The following is a 20,198-nucleotide window of genomic DNA, read 5'->3' on the forward strand; positions in this document are numbered from 1 at the left end:
AGGGCTTCTCAAGGCAGCAGCAGAAGGTGAAGGAGGAGTGAGGGGACAGGTGAGAGAGACTGACCGGGAAAGCTCAGCTCCGTGGGGAAGGGCTTGTGGGGTAGTGATTGAGACTCAGGACCGTTTTCATGGCCAGAGCCCACTTGTGTGCAGCAAGAGGAAAGCACTTCGTGTCTAACGTAGTGGAATGAGAGTAACGTAGAAGAACAACGAATCCCAGGTCTGGCGTTTATCTCCTAGGAAGGGTGTGGGAGAGCTGTTTTCCAAGGGAGACTCTCTGGAGGCTGCTTTGCGCAGCAAGCAGTTTTTACCCAGATTATATACAGTATTTCAGACCAATTTCAAAACCTCTGCGTTTTAAAAATTGTCTTTATTTACATTTTACAGAAAGTTGAGAAAGTGTTATTTATATGGGGGGTAGGGGTGCTGGAGATTATGAGACTAATAACAACCCTCTTAGCTCGCACCCTTTGGCACCACTACAGCTTCCAAACTCTGGGACTTTCTCGACTAGCTTCCCTTTGTTTAGCTGTGAAATGGAAGAAGCGGTCCGGGTGTGGCGGCTCATGCCTGTAACCTGAGCACTCTGGGAGGCGGAGGATCGCTTGAGTCCAGAAGTTCAAGACCAGCTTGGGCAACATAGGGTGACCCTCCACCCTCCCCCCGCCCCACCACATCGCTACAAAAAATTTTTAAAAATTAGCCGGGTGTGGTGGCGCAAGCCTGTAGTCTCAGCGGGAGCTGAGGGAGGAGAATCGCTTCAGCCCGGGAGGTCGAGGCTGTAGTGAGCCGAGATCGCGCTACTGCACTCCTGGGCGACAGAGCGAGACCCTGTCTCCAAAAAAAAAAAAAAAAGAAAAAAGAGGAAGTTGTATCCAATTCAGAAACGCGGTCCTTCGGGACCTGCTAGTTTTATACCCCGGAGGATCCTCCCCGGCGGGCTGGCACGGGAGGTGGAGAAAGAGGCTTGGGCGGCCCCGCTGTAGCCGCGTGTGGGAGGACGCACGGGCCTGCTTCAAAGCTTTGGGATAACAGCGCCTCCGGGGGATAATGAATGCGGAGCCTCCGTTTTCAGTCGACTTCAGATGTGTCTCCACTTTTTTCCGCTGTAGCCGCAAGGCAAGGAAACATTTCTCTTCCCGTACTGAGGAGGCTGAGGAGTGCACTGGGTGTTCTTTTCTCCTCTAACCCAGAACTGCGAGACAGAGGCTGAGTCCCTGTAAAGAACAGCTCCAGAAAAGCCAGGAGAGCGCAGGAGGGCATCCGGGAGGCCAGGAGGGGTTCGCTGGGGCCTCAACCGCACCCACATCGGTCCCACCTGCGAGGGGGCGGGACCTCGTGGCGCTGGACCAATCAGCACCCACCTGCGCTCACCTGGCCTCCTCCCGCTGGCTCCCGGGGGCTGCGGTGCTCAAAGGGGCAAGAGCTGAGCGGAACACCGGCCCGCCGTCGCGGCAGCTGCTTCACCCCTCTCTCTGCAGCCATGGGGCTCCCTCGTGGACCTCTCGCGTCTCTCCTCCTTCTCCAGGTACTCCACAGCCTCGCCGTGGCCCCGACCGGGACCGCTCCCTGGGGGGCGGGCGGGGTCCGCATGGGGCAGTGGCGTCGGGGAGAGCGCGGGGCTGCGCTCCCTGGGGCCAAGGGAGTCCCGGAAGGCCCGTGAGGACCCTGCGGTGTGGGGAGTGCAGGGCCGGGCACGCCTGGACCCAGCCTCCTTCACTCTCTGCCCTCGGGCGCAGGTTTGCTGGCTGCAGTGCGCGGCCTCCGAGCCGTGCCGGGCGGTCTTCAGGGAGGCTGAAGTGACCTTGGAGGCGGGAGGCGCGGAGCAGGAGCCCGGCCAGGCGCTGGGGAAAGGTAAGATCCTCAGGGTGGAACCGCAGGGTAGGGGCCGCACGTGACCATTTTGGTGTGGACCGCGCGAGGGGTGTTCGGGCCGGGGCAAGGGACTCCTGGCGCCACCTCAGTTCCCGGGGAGGCGCAGAACGCGCCTCGGGGGCTGGGATTGGGGGTGGTGGCTGACGGAGAAGGCTGGGCAGCAGAGCGCCTATGACATCCAGCCCCTTGTCCGGTAGCCACTGCTTACCTTGACCCCCTCCTCCGAGATGCCGGATGGCTGAGCCCCTCACCCAGTCTCGACGTGGGAAGTTCTCCCCCGCTGGCCCCAGCAGAGGAATGCGCCGGCCACATTCTTCCCCCAACCCGCGCGCAGGTGTGGGGATGAGCCGTGCCCCGGGCAGCCCCCTTCGCCCCTCTCGGGCCCCCTTTGTGAACCGTGCTTTGTGTCTCCGACAGACAGACCGGGTCTGTTTCTTTTCTCCGAGCTTCCCTACCCCGCCCCCCTTCTTCCTCGGCAGCTGGAATGCACTCTTAACCCTGCTCTTCCCGGAGGGCCTGCGCCCTTGTAGCCTGCCTGGAAACTGGGCCCTGGCACACCTGGGCTGGGGCCATCACGTACGGGAACCACCCCGCCCCCAGCGTCTGGGGCCTGGGATGCTAGGTCACTGGGGGGAGTTTGAGGGGGACAGTGTCCCAAGCTGGCAGGCCTGGGGCTATGGGGGCGATGGACGGGAGATCAAAGCACATTTTTGATCCCTCAGTTACTCCTACCCCCCCCCTCCCCGCCCCAAGTTCAAAAACCTGAGGGGGTGGGCGGTGCAACGTTAGTGAGGAGAACCAGTGTGTTATGAGACCCAGGCGGTTGGTTGCTGGCTAGTGGAGGGCTTTCTCCCTCTAGGTTAAGAGGACAATGGATGGGGGCTCCAGCAAGGGTTGAAACCTAGTTCTTAAACGGGTATAACCCTGGATCCTTGGGTCGGGTTTCAGAGGATCCTTACACTGAAATTTTTGGGAACTTGAGTATTCATTTTTAGGGGGAAGGAACCGTGGCTTACCTGGCCTTCAAAACACTGAGAACCCTTGCTACCTAGCATTCTTCTAAAGTCTCCATCAACTTATCCCTCACCCCAGGCACAAACTCCCACTGCTTGAATGTGGGGCTGTCAATGCCTAGGGGACAGAGTGGCTCTCTTTTATTTCTCCAAAAGAGGATTGAGGACCTTGAGTCTGTGGAGGCCCTTTTTAAAAAAATTCTTTCTGCAAATAACTGCAGATTGACAAAACAATTAACACCCAGGCTAGGCTAGGCTCCTTAAACCCTTGGCTGTAGGGAGCTGAGGAGAGGCATTAAGAAGCCATGCCTCATAAACTTTAAATTCTTGCGCAGGGGTTTATTACTGGCTGGCTAACAAACTGCAACTCAGCCAACCTGTAAAAATGTGAATTCGGGCAGGGCCCCAAATCCAATTCCGGCTCCCTGAGGAAGCCTTATTGCTAACCAGACTTCTGCCAAATCTACGCCCCCTCCCCCCGCCCCATTGTCAAGTTCTCTGACTACAGTCTCCCAGAATAGGCTATAGCCTTGAGTGTTGTCTGTACCTTATCTTTCCTACTGAAGCAAGAAATATCAGATTAGCTGTCACTTCACTAGGCTTGAGGTTTTGGGGGGAAGCAGTGATCAGGTTTTCGATTTCATCGTTGGGTTGGCGAGTGTTTCCCAATGACGTCAGGCATTTTAAACCTTTAGAGGAAATTCAGCTTTCTCGGATGTCTGCTTTACGGTTGTGAAAAACGGTGGGTTTGCGCCAGGAGCACACCTGGGTTATACAACAAAGGACGGGTTAATGCGCTCGGCGCACCTTGAAACTCCCTGCCACACGGCTGGGTCTTAGAGTAGGCTTCTGGTGGCATGGGCTGCTGCTTGCTTTTTTAAGTAAAAGTGCATTTCTTGGTCCAGTTGGTCCCAATAAATTGGGACTTCCCAACAAAACATATTGCTATTTCTCCCTTTGGTCTTCAGCTGGCACTTTGACCACCCCACCTGCACCCTAGTTCCTCATCCTCAAAACATAGATCCCCAGCCTGGATCCAGCCACGTTGAAAGGGTTATCCTGCAGGAACGTATAGACTCTCAAGTTTAGCCAAGCAGACAAGTTTCCATATTGCTAAGGAACAATCACCCCTGTTGTTCGCCCCTGGGTTATGAATATCAAGGGTGTCTATGAAGTTCAGCTCAAAGAACTTATCTGATGTAATTAATGCCTTGTTTGTATGTGCATCTTCCCCTTCAAAGCCCTTTTGCAACTCTGAGCTTGCTTTATCCTCCTAACATTCCCTTGAAGCAGGTGAGGTAAATGTTAAACAAGCTGAGCTCTTAATCTCAGAATTTTGAACTTCAGAAACCCCATAGTCTAGCCTTGCCTGAGGTTTTGAAGGTGGAGAAACAGAGGCACAGCTTAACGGATTGGATTCACTAAGCCAAACAGCTCATGAACTTCTTTGAGGGTGACAGACACAACTTTTACCTCCTGGTATATGCCCAGGGCCTGGTACCTTACAGGATGCCCAGTCCTGTATGAATTATGAATGAATTTGACAACCTTGTGAAGGGCGGCCCATTTTATAGATGAAACCTACATGACTGTGGCTTCACCAAGTCATCACTGCAGTGATCAGCTGGGATTTGAATGGAAATTTTGGACCCCCAAGTTCCCTGGCTTTTTTTTTTTTTTGAGATAGGGTATCGCTCTGTCACCCAGCCCAGGCTAGAATGCAGTGATGCAATCACGGTTCACTGCAACCTCTACCTCCTGGGCTCTAGTGATCCTCCTATCACAGCCTCCCAAGTAGCTGAGACCACAGACATGTGCTACCATGCCTGGCTAATTTTTAATGTTTTCTAGAGACGGGGTCTCACTATGTTGCCCAGACTGGTCACAAACTCTGGGCTCAAGCAATCTTCCCACCTCAGCCTCCCAAGCACTGAGATGACAGGTACGATCCACTGTGCCCAGCTCCCTGGCATTTTTTACTACCAGAAAGCAGGGCCTGAGTGGAGAGGGTAGAATGTTGGATCCCTGAATCCCACAGCTATTAATAACAAGCTCTCCCGGCCCCCCACCCCAAGAGTGCTTAGTCTTTTTTTTTTTTAATTGTAGGATTTTCCAGAAACATTGATGTAGAGGAAACTGGTTTGGATTTAGTCTCTAAGGGCCCAAGTGAGGGGTCTTGACTAGCTCAAGAGGAAAGGTTAATCTGGAGGGAAGGAAAGCCGGCACATTCCCCCATCCCAGTGCCACAGTCTGGGGGCCACCTTCCTTCAAGTGTGGTCTGGAAGCCGACAGTGGAGAGGTGGGAGGAGGGAACTTTCATGGTATTAGTGCAGTGATTAAGTGAGTGACCTACAGTGGTCTACTCATCCTTAAGGGTGAACAACTGAGAGAGGCAGCTTAATGGCAGTCAAACAGATGCAGTCCTTCATTATGGCCTTCAGCAGGATCATCTGACCCACAGTCAGCCTTTGGGTCAGATTAAAAACTAACCATCAGCTTTGGGAGGAAGCTTCCAAGTTCAATAATGCATCTGACTGAGCACAAATTAACATCAAGATGGTTTTGTCTATTTCAGCTCTGGGTGTAAAAACTGCCTTTTATTGTGGAAGCCCCTACTCTGGGGTATGCCCTTTATTTCCATTTCATTCTTCCTGTAAGCATATATTTCGCATCTGCATAGATCAGGCACTGTTCCACAACTTCAACTAAAGCAATGAACAAAACGAAGTCCCTGCCCTTGGGGAGCTTACAGTCTAGTAATTTTTCTTTTTTTCTTAAAAACAGAGGTTTTATTCCATTTGGTCCACAGTCGGTGTTTCACATTATCTCACGGTGCAGGGCCCCTGGGTAAGGGGGGTCCCTGTGCAGTACTTGGAGGGGCGTGTGGCCAGGGGAGATGAAGCAGTATAGCTGGTCAGGCCCAGAAGGGGAGATGGAGGGCTGGGGGCTCCTTAAAACCTACTGAGGGGCGAGGCGCGGTGGCTCACGGCTGTAATCCCAGCACTTTGGGAGGCTGAGGCGGGCAGATCACATGAGGCCAGGAGTTCAAGACCAGCCTGGCCAACATGGCGAAATCCCGTATCTACTAAAAACACAAAAATTAGCTGGGTGTGATGGTGGTGTGCCTGTAACCCAGTTACTTGGGAGGCTGAGGCAGGAGAATCGCTTGAGCCCAGTAAGTGGAGGTTGCAGCAAGCCAAGATCACGCCACTGTACTCCAGCCTGGGCAACAGAGTGAGACTCCGCCTCAAAGAAAAAAAAAAAACCTGAGGACCACAGTAGGGGGTAGTTAGCATGGAGAGGGGGTCAGGTTTAGCCCCAACAACTCAGAATTCTGCTCCCTTGTGCAGGCCTCAGTTTCCCCACCGGGCCCCTGGGCAGGCCTGAGGGTCCTAGAGAAAGCCGGCCACTCAGGAGCCTGACATATTTTAGCATCGTGGTCAGGTCCCCTCTCCTAGGGGACTCATTTCCCAGCACCCTCTCCACTGTCCCTGCCCCATTCCTTGGGGAAAAAATATATATATTTTTTCTTTTTTTGAGACGGAGTTTTGCTCTTGTTGCCCAGGCTGGAGTGCAATGGCGCAGTCTCGGCTCACCGCAACCTCCACCTTCTGGGTTCGAGTGATTTTTCTGCTTCAGCCTCCCAAGTAACTGGTACAGGCATGCGCCACAACGCCTGGCTAATTTTGTATTTTTAGTAGAGACGGGGTTTTATCATGTTGGTCAGGCTGGTGTCGAACTCCCGATCTCAGGTGATCTGCCCACCTTGGCCTCCCAGAGTGCTGGGATTACAGGTGTGAGCCACCACGCCCGGCCATATTTTTATTTTAATATTTCCTGAAACTTCTGTGGGTACAGAAACCACAAACTGATCGGCTGACAAAAGGGGGAAGAGGCAAGGCAACTGGAAACCTTCGGGGACCAGTTCCCTCCACGCCCAGGTCTCTTCTCCCCAGCACAGCTCAGTCCATAGCCTGGACGTGCCAGCAGGGACCCTCACCCTACATGCTTCGGGATACAGCCTTAACCCCTTCCCCCACAGCCTGGTGGCCCAGTTCTGTGAAGGAACCAAGGCAAGGGGGGAATATCCCTGCTGCCACATCCCATGACGCCACTCACAGACCCTCAGTTGATTGGCAACATTGAACAGGTTAAAAAAAAAAAAAAAAAGAAGAGGAAAACGTAGAAAAACACCAAAACCCAGACAGGGAGACGATGTGGGGAGAGAGCGTGCTGGGAGCCTTAGTAGCTGGCCTCCTCCTGGTAGTAAGGGGGATATTCAGGGGCCTTCCCTGGGCCTGGGCAGTCGTTGGTGCCCGAGGGAGCCCTGTTGGCCACTGGGCCTTGTGGGCAGTAGTTGGAATTGTATATCTGCCGGCCCAGGCCAAAGACCTGGCTGCTCTGGTTAGCACCCTGCAGGTAGCCCATCTGCAGGGACACGGAGGAGTTGTCATACTTGTTGGTGCCCAGCTTGGTGTCATAGATGTGCAGCTGGGTCCAGGGAGCCGTCATGCCCATGTGGCTGGCGCACTTGTTTGTACCCATCTGGAGGCTGATGGTCGAGTGGTCCACGGGGGCAGGATATGGTTCTTGGGGCTGTAGAGATGCCTCCTTGTGCCGTACATGGTCATACCCGACTGGCTTGCACATTTGTTGGTGCCCATCTGCAGCCCGATGACGCACTGGCCGGCCTTCATGGTGTTCTAGTCGAAGTTTTGCTCCTGCTTCTTTGAGTACCTGACACTGATGTCCACCCCGCTCTGCAGCCCCTTAGTCTTGGCCTTCCCCGCCAGGGCAAGAAGAGACACCTGCACCTGCATCATGTTCCCACTCTCAAACAGGTTACTGGCCTCAAACAGGTCCATGGGGTTCATGCCATAGCTGACTATGGCCTTGATGAAGTTGGAGAGGTTTTCTAGCTGGTGCCAGTTCTGCATGGAGTGGTTGATCTAGGGGACTGAGCCTGGCTGCAGCTCGTTCATGAGTGTGTGTAAGATAATTCTGTCCTTCAGGCCCTGCTGGAAGTCAGGGCTGATGGAGAGGCTGGTGAGTCCCTCGATCCAGCTGTGGAGCTCTGCCTCCTTCTGGGGGTCATATCTGGACAGGAGCCGGTTCTTGACCTCGGCGGAGAGCCAGTATGAGGGGCCCTTGTTGAATTGCATGGAGAATACGGCTGGCAGGTGCGGTGGCAGGACAGGACCGACTAGAGGTGACCAACGGGCCCTAATTTAGTAATTTTCTGTGCTTATGGGCTGCCCTGCAAAGCAGTTGTTGATAATTTCCACTTAGCTGTAAAATGAGGTTGAGGAAGTCAGTGAGAGGTCACTGGTGCAACAAACAGAAGGCCAGGAATTAAACCCTGGTGTTTTGCCTCCACAGCCCAGGGAGATATCCATAAATGTGGCTCCGAGGAGTGAATGGGAACTGGACCTTCAAGCCTAGCAGGCCGCTTTCCTGGCTTAGCAGCAGAGTAGGGTTAACTTGCTGAAAACTCTGTCCTGCATCACCAGTAGCTTGTGCCTGGGGAGCAGGTCTCAAACCTCTAGTCTCCCTTCCCATTTCCTCATATGCCACTGTGTTCCTAGGTTACCCAGTGCAGGGTGCTCTCACCTCCCTGCTGCACAAGGAAGGCATTGCTTATGACAAGCAAAGAGTTTCTAGGGCCAGAAACTATACCTCTGCAAAGCATTTGGAGGATGATGGAAGAGGAGGGAGGAAGGGCCTCCCCAGCTCCCATCAGTTGAGGCTTTGGTCCTGAGGCTGAACAGTCTCCATTCAGAGACTCGATGTTATTGAAGAATAACAAATGTAGACAAAAGTGCCGAAATGATGAGTGTGCAGCCCGATGAACATCGCAAACTTAAAACCCCTGTGTTTCTGGCGCACAGATCAAGAAACAGCATTACCAGAGCCTTGGATGCCCCCTCCCTCCTAATTTCAACCTTCTCTCAAGATAACCACTCTTCTGACTTCTGAGTACCACAGGTGAATTTGCCTGCATTTGAACTTTCTGTAAGAGGATCATACAATTATCTTAGCTCTGGCTGCTTTCATGGCACCATTGAGAGATTCTTGCGTAATTCTGGATGTAGTTCTAGTTGATTCTCATTGTATAGTATTTCATTATGTGACTATCCACAATTCTGCTGTTGATGGGCATTTCAGTAGTTTCCATTTTGTGCAAATCTTCTAGTGACCTGTGCACCCCTATTTGTTAGTTATACACCTGGGGCACAATTGCTGGGTTAACTGATTACCTGAGGATTCCAGTACTGTGATCCTGGACTGAGATATCAGCTCCTCTCTGTTCTGAAGTAGTGAGGTGTCTTCTGCATTCTCCCACCCCAACAGTCTCCCTGCCAGACCCCACCCCCTTTCCGGAGTCTTGATTTTCATCTGGCCCTATGCTAAGAGACAGCAAGTTTTTATTTTTTAATTTTTCAATTATTTTATTTTATTTTATTTTATTTTTGAGACAGAGTTTTGCTCTTGCCCAGGCTGGAGTGCAATGGCGTGATCTTGGCTCACCGCAACCTCCACCTCCCAGGTTCAAGCGATTCTCCTGCCTCAGCCTTCCCAAGTAGCTGGGATTACAGGCATGCGCCACCAAGTCCGGCTAATTTTATATTTTTAGTAGAGATGGGGTTTCTCCATGTGGGTCAGGCTGGTCTCAAACTCCCGACCTCAGGTGATCCGCCTACCTCGGCCTCCCAAAGTGCTGGGATTACAGGCTTGAGCCATCGCGCCCGGCCGGCAGCAAGTTTTTATTATGTGCTTGGCCTCATCCTTTGTCTTGGGGGAGAAAAGCTTCCCTTTCTTTGTCCTTATCCTGATGCTTGCTTCTTTCCTCAAAAGTAGAAAGGGAATCTGGAAAGGGCCCTGAATTTCTTTTCTTTTCTTTTCTTTCTTTTTTTTTTTTTTTTGAGACGGAGTCTCGCTCTGTCGCCTAGGCTGGAGTGCAGTGGCCTGATCTCGGCTCACTGCAAGCTCCGCCTCCCAGGTTCATGCCATTCTCCTGCCTCATCCTCCCAAGTAGCTGGGACTACAGGCGCCCGCAACCACGCCCGGCTAATTTTTTGTATTTTTAATAGAGACGGGCAATTTTTGTATTTTTAGTAGAGACGAGGTTTCGCCATGTTAGCCAGGATGGTCTCGATCTCCTGACCTCATGATCCACCCACCTCGGCCTCCCAAAGTGCAGGGATTACAGGCGTGAGTCACTGCTCCCGGCCAAATGTCTTGAGAACTTTCTGGGTAGAGATTTATTTGTTCTTAATTTTTTTTTTTTTTTTTGAGATGGAGTCTCACTCTGTTGCCCAGGCTAGGGTGCAGTGGCACAATCTCGGCTCATTGTAAACTCCGCCTCCCGGATTCAAGCGATTCTCCTGCCTCAGCCTCCTGAATAGCTGGGACTACAGGCATGTGCCACCATGCCCAGCTAATTTTTTGTATTTTTAGTAGAGACAGGGTTTCACCGTGTTAGCCAGGATGATCTCGATCTTCTGACCTTGTGATCTACCCGCCTTGGCCTCCCAAAGTGCTGGGATTACAGGTGTGAGCCACCGCACCTGGCCTTTTTCTTAATTTTTAAATTAATTTTTTTTTTTTTTTTTTTTTTTTTTTTTTTTTTTTTTGCGGCTGGGTGCGTTGGCTCACGCCTGTAATCCCAGCACTTTGGGAGGCCGAGGCAGGCGGATCACCTGAGGTCAAGAGTTCGAGACCAGCCTGGCCAACATGGTGAAACCCTGTCTCTACTAAAAATACAAAAATTAGCTGGGCGTGGTGGCAGGTGCCTGTAATCCCAGCTACTTGGGAGGGTGAGGCAGGAGAATCTCTTAAATCTGAGAGGTGGAGGTTGCAGTGAGCGGAGATCGTGTCACTGCACTCCAGGCTGGGTGACCGAGCAAGACTCTGTCTCAAAAAAAAAAAATATATATATATATATATATATTTATTTTTAAATTAGAGGCGGCCGGCATGATGGCTCACACCTGTAATCCCAGCACTTTGGGAGGCCAAGGTGGGCGGATCACCTGAGGTCAGGAGTTCAAGACCAGCCTGGCCAACATGGTGAAACCCTGTCTCTACTAAAAATACAAAAATTAGCCTGGCGTGGTGGTGTGCGCCTGTAATCCTAGCTACTCAGGAGGCTGAGGTAGGAGAATTGCTTGAGCCTGGGAGGCGGAGGTTGCAGTGAGCCGAGATTGCACCACTGCATTCCAGCCTGGGCAACAGAGCAAGACTCCATCTCCAAAAATAAATAAATACGTAAAATAGAGAAGGGGTCTGACTATGTTGCCTGGGCTGGCCTTGAACCCCTAGCCTCAAGCAATCGTCTTGCCTCACCCTCCCAAAGTGCTAGGATTACAGGTGTGAGCCACTGTGCATGGCCCTGGGTGGAGATTTTTATCCTGACCAGTGTGTGGGTGGGCAGCAGCTCCTTATTTGGCCAACATGTTCAAATCCAGCTCCTCTCTTATAGAAACAGTGAAGTGTCTGAGATCCAAAGCCAATTTGAAATGGTCATTCAGCCAACAAATGTCTGAGTACCTACTAGGTACTAGATACTCAGAGGGTAAGTAAGGCCACAGCTCCTAACCCTCAGTGAACTCCTGATTAGAGTTCAGGTACTGTTTACTGTCAGGTACTGTTCTAGGTGCTGGGAATTCACTAGTGAACAAAATGTGCAAAAATCCTGGCCTCAAAGGGCCACTTATCTGCTAGTATAGAGGGACAGACAAATAAGTACAATATATGCATATATGAGATTGAGGAGGGGCTGGGCATGGTGGCTCACACCTGTAATCCTAGCACTTTGGGAAGCCGAGGCAGGCGGATCACTTGAGGTCAGGAGTTCGAAACCAGCCTGGCCAACATAGTGAAACCCCGTCTCTGCTAACAACAACAACAAACAAACAAACAAAATAATTAGCCTGGCATGGTGGCAAGCACCTGTAATCCCAGCTTACTCAGGAGGCTGAGGCAGGAGAATGGCTTGAACCCAGGAGGCAGAGGTTGCAGTGAGCTGAGATTAAGCCACTCCACTCCAGCCTGGGCGACAGAGCGAGACGCCGTCTCAAAAAAAGAAAAAGAGATTGAGGGGGAGGTGGGAAAGGAGTGATATAGAGTCACATAGGAGAGGCTGCTGACATGTTCTTGGAGAAACCTCGAGGAACTGATGTCCAAGCTGGCAGCCAAGGAAGAAGAATTAGGCAAGGGAGTTGGGCATGAGAGGTGGCATAGAGTGTTCTGGCAGAGGAACAACACCAGGGTTCCAGGGACTTGGATACATTGAATCTGGCTGGATCATGGAGTGTGAGGTGGGGAGAGCCAGTGAGGCATAGGCAGGGTCCAGCCCCGCTTGAAATTTGTCTCACCCCATAACAGAGGCAGCAAAGTGTTTGGGGAAATCCCAGTTGTACCAGTATGGAGACAATGGCTGAAGTCCCAGTTGTACCAGTATGGAGGCCAGGGTCTCTGAAGTCTTCCCTGGAACCAGGATATTGGCCCCCACTCCCAGCAACCCTTCTCAACTCCCCTCCCGATTCTCAGACTGGAGGACCATGTCTGCCTCAGTTGCCTTTTTCTCATTTCATTTAGTCACCTGGCATTGCCAACCCAGGCAGCAGGGCTGGCAAGGAAGGGCTGTGAAAACTCACCACCACCACCCAGATACCACCTAATAGCTTACTGAATTCCAGAATCACACTATGTACTTTATGTAATAAGCCCCTTTAATCCTCCTAAAAGCCCCATGAGGTGGGTGGAATTGGCCCCATTTAACTGGATAGGAAACCTCGGCTTGTCACTTTGTAACTATCTAAGGTCACCCAGCTAATAAATTGTGGTGTCACATTTTGAACACAGGTGTGACCCCCTAAGTATGAGGCACTGACCATTTGGCAATCAGGGTGGGAAAGGGAAAGATATTTGGAGTCTTCTGGCCCCAGCCAAATTAGAGGAAGATTGGAAATAGTTAACTTCTGACCCAAGGGCTTTGAATTCCTATTCTCTCCACAGGCCCCTGCTAATCGCCAGGAGGGTTGGGGTTGGCAGGCACTTCTGCCCAGGACCTCTGGCCTCCCTTTTAAGATATGGGGGAACAGGGAGGGTTCAGATACCAGGTCTGAGAGCACTCAAACTGACAGCCCTCTGCAGAGAACTGTCACCCCACCCCCACCTGCCTCCAGCAGCAAAGACCTCCCACCTCTTGCTCTGGGTAGAAGAGCTTGACAGACCCTTCCTCACTCGCTCCTCCTCCCCCAGCCAAATCTGGGCATCCTCAGGGCTCTGGGTTACCTAGAGCATCAGAGGTCTGCAAATTCCTCCAGCTGACAGAATTCCCTCCAGGCTGCAGCTGCCTCTGTCTGCTGGACTTAAGAGTGTTGGGGACCTGCTGCTTGGGCAGTGAACCAGAATGCCTCACCTGGGGAAAGAAAGCCAAACGGGCTCGGTGTGATGGCTGGCACCTGTAATCCCAGCACTTTGGGAGGCCTAGGCGGGTGGATCACCTGAGCTCGGGAGTTCGAGACCAGCCTGGCCAACATGGTGAAACCCTGTCTCTACTAAAAATATAAAAATTAGCCGGGCATGGTGGCGTGTGCCTGTAATCCCAGCTACTCGGGAGGCTGAGGTAGAAGAATTGCTTGAACCTGGGAGGCAGAGGTTGCAGTGAGCCGAGATCGCACCACTGCACTCCAGCCTGGGCGACAGAGCAAGACTCTGTCTCAAAAAGCCAAACGTCTTCCTTTCTCCCTCGACCCCATCTTTGAACTCAGGACTCTGGCTCTGTGGCTGTCTAACATCTGAGGAGAGGGCTCAGAGCCAAGGCCACAGAGCTAGGAGGTGGGAGGGCTGGTGGGCTGCCTCCCTTCGTGAGAGCCTCTCCAGGTGCTACTGAACCCCAAGAGGAAAGATCTGTTTTTCCCTAGGACTCTGAGGCATCTTAGGGCTAAATGGGGAGATGGGGAATGGGGAGGTATAATCCCAGGCCCTCTTCTTCTCCTTCAATCTCAGTAGCCCCCCTTTTGTTGAAGACCACTTTAAAGTTGGAAGTTACCTATTAGCAAGAGACCTTGACAACCTGTGTTGTACGCTAGGAGGAGTAGAAGGTATTTTTGCTTGAGTTCTTACTCTAGGGTCTCACATTCGCTTTAGGAAGTCGTTGATCCCCAGGAATTAACCGTGCCTAAGAGTGCATGCGCATCTTTCTAAGAAGTCTCCTCCTTCAAATTTGGGGACCACAGGTATTCCCCATATCTCCCAGTCTTTTTCTTTCTTTTTTTTTTTTTTTTTTTTAGAGACAGGGTCTCACTATGTTGCCCAGGCTGGTCTTGAACTCCTGGCCTCAAGTGATCCACCCGCCTCAGCACCCCAAAGTTGGGATTTCCTGTGTGAGCCATCATTCCTGGCCCCCAGTCATTTTATAGAGAAGCTAGAACTACTGTTTAGAGAAATGATTTGCACTTGGGTCCATTTGGAAATTCTTCAGACTCTCGTTAAACCCAGCAGTGGGAAGAGACCTAATGGTATATATCCCAGCACAGGCAAGGGAAAAATGGATTCTAAGCTGTTTCTCATCCCAAATGATGTGGCCTGAGGCGAGTTACTGAGTCCAAGCTCCTCAGCCTTGAGGCCCTAACTTCCCTGTGCGTGCATGGGAAATGGCCCTGGAGCTATGAGAGGGCGGCTGGCTGGACTGCTCACTGGCCAGTGAGAGGGCCCAGGTGGAGGGTTCGGCTGCTCTCCTGGGTGTCTTGCTGAAGGCTGACTGCCTTCTGAGCGGCCTTTGCACAGCGTGCCCCATCTTGTTGTAACTTCAGGCAGGGGAGAAACAGCAACTTGTGAGCTCTCCCCACACAAGCCAGGACAGGACGCCAGGCCCACACACTGCCTTCTCCCTGTAGAGTCGCTTCATCCAGGCTTCCCACCGTACTTCGAAACCTGCTCTTCTCTTGTCTTTTATGGTCTTTTTCCGCTTCCAGAAGTCTCCTGCATTCCTCAGCTGGGACTTAGCCCCACTTCAACTGGTTTATCCCTGCTTTTGGCCTCTGAGTCAGTAGTTTGCAAGCTTGGCTGGTGATCAAATTGCCTGGGGAGCTTTTTATTTTTTTATCGTCTCCTCCCCAATGTATACCATTTTATATTGTTTACATAGGGACGGTTGGTTGGTTGGGATTTCAAATTAATACATGAAAATATGTTCACTGTAAAGACACACTTTTTTCAATAAAAATATGTGGCACTTACTATGTGACAGATAAAGTTCTTAGTACTTTATATGCATCAGCTCATTTAATCCTCAAACATCCCTTGAGGGAGGTACTATTGTTGTCCCCGTTTTACAGGTGAGGAAACTGAGGCCAGAGAAGTTAAGTAACTTGCCCAAGATCACACAGCTAAGTAAGTAGTAGAGCTCAGATTCAAACCTAAGCAGACTGAGCTTACACCACTGAACTCTACTGCCTGTCAATAGAAGCAAGTCAGAAATAAACACATGAAGGCTGGGGTATGGTGGCTCACAACTGTAATTCTAGCACTGTGGGAGGTTGAGGTGGGAGGATTGCTTGAACCCAGGAGTTCGAGACCAGCCTGGGCAACATGGTGAGACCCCGGTTTCTACAAAAAATACAAAAATTAGCCAGGCATGGTGGTGCATGCCTGTAGTCCCATCTACTCTACTCAGGTGGCTGGGGCAGGAGAATCGCTTGAACCTGGGAGATGGAGGTTGCAGTGAGCCAAGATCATACGACTGCACTGCACTCCAGCCTGGGCAACAGAGTGAGATGCTGTCTCAAAAAAAAAAAAAAGGATCTTTTGAGCCCGGGAGGCAGAGGTTGCAGTGAGCCAAGATCACACCACTGTACTGTAGCCTGGGTAACAGAGCAAGACCCTGTCTTCAAAAAAAACCAAAAAATAAATAAAGAGAAAAAGAAATAAACACGTGAAATTTCTTCCCCAGTTCTACTCTCTTAAGGGCAAGCACACAGTTACTGATTTTATAAGAATCCTTGTAGACCCTTTTTTTTTTTTTTTGCACAAAAAACTTATGTATGCATACAGGAATTTTAAAAACAAGAATTGGACTATATCATGCATACAAATGTTACTCTGCAGCTCGCTTTTTAACTTAGAATCACAGGCATCTTTCCAGACTGTTAAATACACATCTATCTTGTTTTTAATAGCGCCGTAGTCTTTTACATGGTGAATGTACCATGATTTATTTAGCCAGTCTTCTACTTTTATCTTTTACAGATGTGGTGTAGGGAAGAGTTAACATCAAAATTGTGAAGTGTTTGGATTTTTAGCAATCTAACTATCAGTAATTGCCTTATTAGGAAAGACTGCTGTAGAAAGATGATCGAGTGAACTGTTCATCTTAACATCATCCAGATAAATTGAGCTTTCATGTTTAAACAATACCTTTAATACAGACTCTGCTGTAAACTTAAGGTTACTATACCATTTAAAAATAGTTTTCATACTAACTTTTGTTTTATGACTATCTAAATAATAGTCAATAGTTTCAAAAGCATATGAATTCACCAAAAATCAAAAACTTTTAAATTGCATGACTCAGAAGTAAACTACCACATTCATTCACACTAGCATTATTTTCCCTGGGTGTTGAGAGATTGAGAATGTGTCATCAGTCAATTCAAAGTGCATTTTTTTCTCAAGTTTTTCTTTAGATTTCAAAATCTAGTTAGCAAGCATTTTGCTGAATAAAAGTTGATTTCCAGTCTTAAAGCAGACACTCATTTCTGTTCTTATTTTCCCCCCAAGAGGAGCTTATGAGTTTTTTTCTTAAACTCAAATATTGCTGCACTAAAGCCTAGGACAGGGTGGTTGCATTTATATAAAGGATGCATTCTTGAAAACCACAAATAGGCTGGGCGCTGGGGCTCATGCCTGTAATCCCAGCACTCTGGGAGGCCGAGGCCGGCAGATCACGAGGTCAGGAGATCGAGACTATCCTGGCTAACACAGTGAAACCCCGTCTCTACTAAAAAACACAAAAAATTAGCCGGGCGTAGTGGCAGGCGCCTGTAGTCCCAGCTATTTGGGAGGCTGAGGCAGGAGAATGGCGTGAACCCGGGAGGCAGAGCTTGCAGTGAGCCGAGATCCCGCCACTGCACCCCAGCACTCCAGCCTGGGCAACAGAGCAAGACTCCGTCTCAAAAAAAAAAAAAAAAGAAGAAAATTACAAATAATTCATAATTCCCATGATTCAAGACTTATATTCTCATATGAATACATGTGAAGTGTATGTATGGGGTGGAGGGGCCAAGGGGATGCTTACAATTCACTACTCTCCAGCTTTGAAATTATGTAACTTAAAACTTTTAATTTGGGGGATTTGCATTTCTTCACACTTTACATAAAAAGCAAAACTAATATTTATGGCACCATTTCAAATTTCTGCAGTTGAAGTTTGCATGAAATATATCTGTATTATAATGTATAGAGTGCCTGAATTGGGGTCCCAGAGCCACTGTGTCTGGGTTGAATCTGTCCACTTACTACTTGTGGAACCTTGGGGCAAGTTACTTAACCTCTGTGCCTCAGTTTTCTCATCTGTAAAATGAATATAATAATGGGGATCTCATATGGTTATGGTGAAGATTAAATGAGTTTGTGTATGAAACGGCATGTAGTGAGTACATCAATGTTAAGTGCCAGTGGCAGGAGGAATAGCAGTATTGTTATAGCTGGAATAGTTTGTATACATATTTCTTTAGACTAGATTTCTGCAAGTGAAATTGTTGGGTCATGTGACTTTCATAGTTCATTCAACAATTATCAAACACCTACTTTGTACTGGGCACAGTGCTAAATGCTGGGAGACAGTGAGAAGCAAATTCTAGTGGGGGAGATAGGCAATTAAATAATCACTAGTAACTTTTTTTGTTTATTTTGGAGATGGCGTCTTACTCTGTATCCTAGGCTGGAATTCAATGGCGCGATCTCAGCTCGCTGCAACCTCCGCCTCCCGGGTTCAAGCTATTCTCCTGCCTCAGCCTCCCAAGTAGCTGGAATTATAGGCACCTGCCAGCACACCTGGCTAATTTTTTTGTGTTTTTAGTAGAGATGGGGTTTCGCCATGTTGGCCAGGCTGGTAGTGAACTCCTGACCTCAGGTGATCTGCCCGTCTCAGCCTCCCAAAGTGCTGGGATTACAGGCGTGAGCCACGGCGCCCAGCCAATCACTACTAAACATATAATCACAAGTTGTAATAAATTCTATGGAGGAAAGTTATTCAAAGCCAGAAGGGTTTTTCACTGGGGAATCTGATCTAGTTTGGGAGGGTTGAGGGAAATTTCCCTGAAAAAGTAACTGTTGAATTGGGATCTGAAAGATGTCAGGAGTTAACTGTGTAAAATCGGGATGGGAATGCAAGGAGACACTGTTCCAGACAGAGGGAGTAGTGTGTGCAAAGGCCCTGTGGTAGGGGGTTATGCTGTATTTAAGAAGAGGCTCAATGTGGCTAGAGAGAGAGATTGGCACATTAAAGAGTTTGTTTTTTAGGACATGGTGACATGCACCTTTAGTCCCACCACTTGGGGAGGCAGAGGCAGGAGGATCACTTGAGCCTAGGAGGTCTAGGCTGTAGTGCATGATGACTGCATTTGTAAACAGTCACTGCTCTCCAGCCTGGACCATATAGTAAGACCTTGTCCCTTTAAAAAAGATATTTTTGGCTGGGTGCAGTGGCTCACGTCTGTAATCCCAGCACTTTGGGAGGCTGAAGCCAGCCTTTTTTTTTTTTTTTTTTTTGGAGATGGAGTCTTGCTCTGTCGCCCAGGCTAGAGTGCGGTGGCACGATCTCACTGCAAGAAGCTCCACCTCCGGGTTCACACCATTCTCCTGCCTCAGCCTCCCGAGTAGCTGGAACTACAGGCACCCGCCACCACGCCCGGCTAATTTTTTTTGTATTTTTAGTAGAGACGGAGTTTCACCGCATTAGCCAGGATGGTCTCGATCTCCTGACCTCGTGATCCACCTGCCTCAGCCTCCCAAAGTGCTGGGATTACAGGTGTGAGCCACCGTTCCCGGAGGCTGGTGGATTTTTTAAAGTTTTTTTTTTTTTTTTTTTTTTTTGAGACAGTCTTGCTCTGTCACCCAGGCTGGAGTGCAGTGGCGTGATCTTGGCTCACTGCACACTCCGCCTCCTGGGTTCAAGCTATTCTCCTGCTTTAGCCTCCCTTATAGCTGGGACTACAGGTGCCTGCCACCACACCCAGCTAATTTTTGTATTAGTACAGACGGAGTTTCACCATGTTGACCAGGCTGGTCTCAAACTCCTGACCTCATGGTGATCCACCTGCCTCGGCCTCCCAAAGTGCTAGGATTACAGGCATGAGCCACTGTCCCCAGCCAGATTGTTTTTTATCCCAGGAACAAAGGCATATCACTGAGTTTCAAATAGGAAAGTGACTTTTTTTTTTTTTTTCTGAGACGGAGTCTTGCTCAGTCACCCAGGCTGGAGTGCAGTGGCACGATCTCAGCTCACTGCAACCTCCGTCTCTGCCTCCCGGGTTCACGCCATTCTCCTGCCTCAGCCTCCCAAGTAGCTGGGACTACAGATGCCCGCCATGATGCCCGGCTAACTTTTTTTTTGTATTTTTAGTAGAGACGGTGTTTCACCACGTTAGCCAGGATGGTCTCGATCTCCTGACCCCGAGATCCACCCGCCTCGGCCTCCCAAAGTGCTGGGATTACAGGCGTGAGCCACCACGCCTGGCCGAAAGTGACCTTATTTCATTTTTTTCAAATGTACTATGCTGTTGCATTTTTAAGAGATTCATCTTTTTAAATGGAGATTTTTGCACCCATTTATACTAAAGATGATGTTGTATGCACTAAGGTGGTGGGGGTAGAGATGGAAGGGGCCTAAGTCTTGGTGGGTGATAGTCTGGGAAGGGAAGCTCTAAGGGAGAAATGGTCAAGGAAGAAGCAGCTGCTAGCTAAACCATATGCCAGGCATTATGCTAAGTATTTTTTTTAATCAGATATTTTATTTTTTATTTTATTTTATTTTATTATACTTTAAGTTTTAGGGTACATGTGCACAATGTGCAGGTTAGTTACATATGTATACATGTGCCATGCTGGTGTGCTGCACCCATTAACTCGTCATTTAGCTTTAGGTATATCTCCTAAAGCTATCCCTCCCCCCTCCCCCACTATGCTAAGTATTAACTCATTCAACTGAGGTAGATATTAGCATTATTCCCATTTCATAGCTGAGGAAACAGGCCCAGAGAGGTTAGCCAACTTGCCCAAAGTCAGTGTGGGCCTGGTAAT

General features: G+C 49.7%; 1 protein-coding gene, 1 long non-coding RNA gene and 1 pseudogene across 6 annotated transcripts in view, besides 4 other annotated features; 1 reads left to right on the forward strand and 2 right to left on the reverse strand.

Annotated features, from left to right (window-relative positions):
• On the reverse strand, positions 352 to 2,305 carry CDH3-AS1 (CDH3 antisense RNA 1). The gene is made up of 2 exons (NR_186394.1): positions 2,084 to 2,305; positions 352 to 1,844 (listed from the first exon to the last, which is right to left on the reverse strand). It is a non-coding gene; the product is annotated as a CDH3 antisense RNA 1 (long non-coding RNA).
• Positions 1,394 to 1,918: an enhancer, noted in NCBI's record as "H3K27ac hESC enhancer chr16:68679193-68679717 (GRCh37/hg19 assembly coordinates)". NCBI's record gives its function as "activates a minimal SCP1, AML or CMV promoter by ChIP-STARR-seq in primed H9 embryonic stem cells {active_cell/tissue: H9 hESC(primed)}" and the evidence as "EXISTENCE:reporter gene assay evidence [ECO:0000049][PMID:30033119]".
• The window catches only part of CDH3 (cadherin 3), an 88,462-nt gene continuing 69,677 nt past the window's right edge, over positions 1,414 to 20,198 (forward strand). For 4 of the 5 annotated variants that reach the window (XM_047433450.1, XM_011522800.4, NM_001793.6 and 1 more), the window contains exons 1-2: positions 1,414 to 1,528; positions 1,740 to 1,854. In XM_047433450.1, the coding sequence (XP_047289406.1) occupies positions 1,484 to 1,528; positions 1,740 to 1,854 (160 nt within the window). In that variant the 5' untranslated portion in view covers positions 1,414 to 1,483. The remainder of the gene's footprint in view (positions 1,529 to 1,739; positions 1,855 to 20,198) is intronic. The other variant, NM_001317196.2, reaches the window with a different exon arrangement.
• On the reverse strand, positions 6,860 to 8,112 carry LOC100418868 (calponin 2 pseudogene; annotated as a pseudogene).
• Positions 10,806 to 10,950: an enhancer, noted in NCBI's record as "145 bp 16:68688677 sequence used in MPRA reporter constructs". NCBI's record gives its function as "activates a minimal TATA-containing promoter with rs12923069 allelic activity by MPRAs in UACC903 melanoma cells {active_cell/tissue: UACC903}" and the evidence as "EXISTENCE:reporter gene assay evidence [ECO:0000049][PMID:36423637]".
• Position 10,878: a transcriptional cis regulatory region, noted in NCBI's record as "rs12923069 or 16:68688677 MPRA-significant variant associated with a GWAS melanoma risk locus at 16q22.1". NCBI's record gives its function as "allelic transcriptional activity by MPRAs in UACC903 melanoma cells {active_cell/tissue: UACC903}" and the evidence as "EXISTENCE:reporter gene assay evidence [ECO:0000049][PMID:36423637]".
• Positions 14,163 to 14,663: an enhancer, noted in NCBI's record as "H3K4me1 hESC enhancer chr16:68691962-68692462 (GRCh37/hg19 assembly coordinates)". NCBI's record gives its function as "activates a minimal SCP1, AML or CMV promoter by ChIP-STARR-seq in naive H9 embryonic stem cells {active_cell/tissue: H9 hESC(naive)}" and the evidence as "EXISTENCE:reporter gene assay evidence [ECO:0000049][PMID:30033119]".

The sequence above is a fragment of the Homo sapiens genome, chromosome 16 (assembly GCF_000001405.40).
Source record: "Homo sapiens chromosome 16, GRCh38.p14 Primary Assembly".
Taxonomy (NCBI): Eukaryota; Metazoa; Chordata; class Mammalia; order Primates; family Hominidae; genus Homo; species Homo sapiens.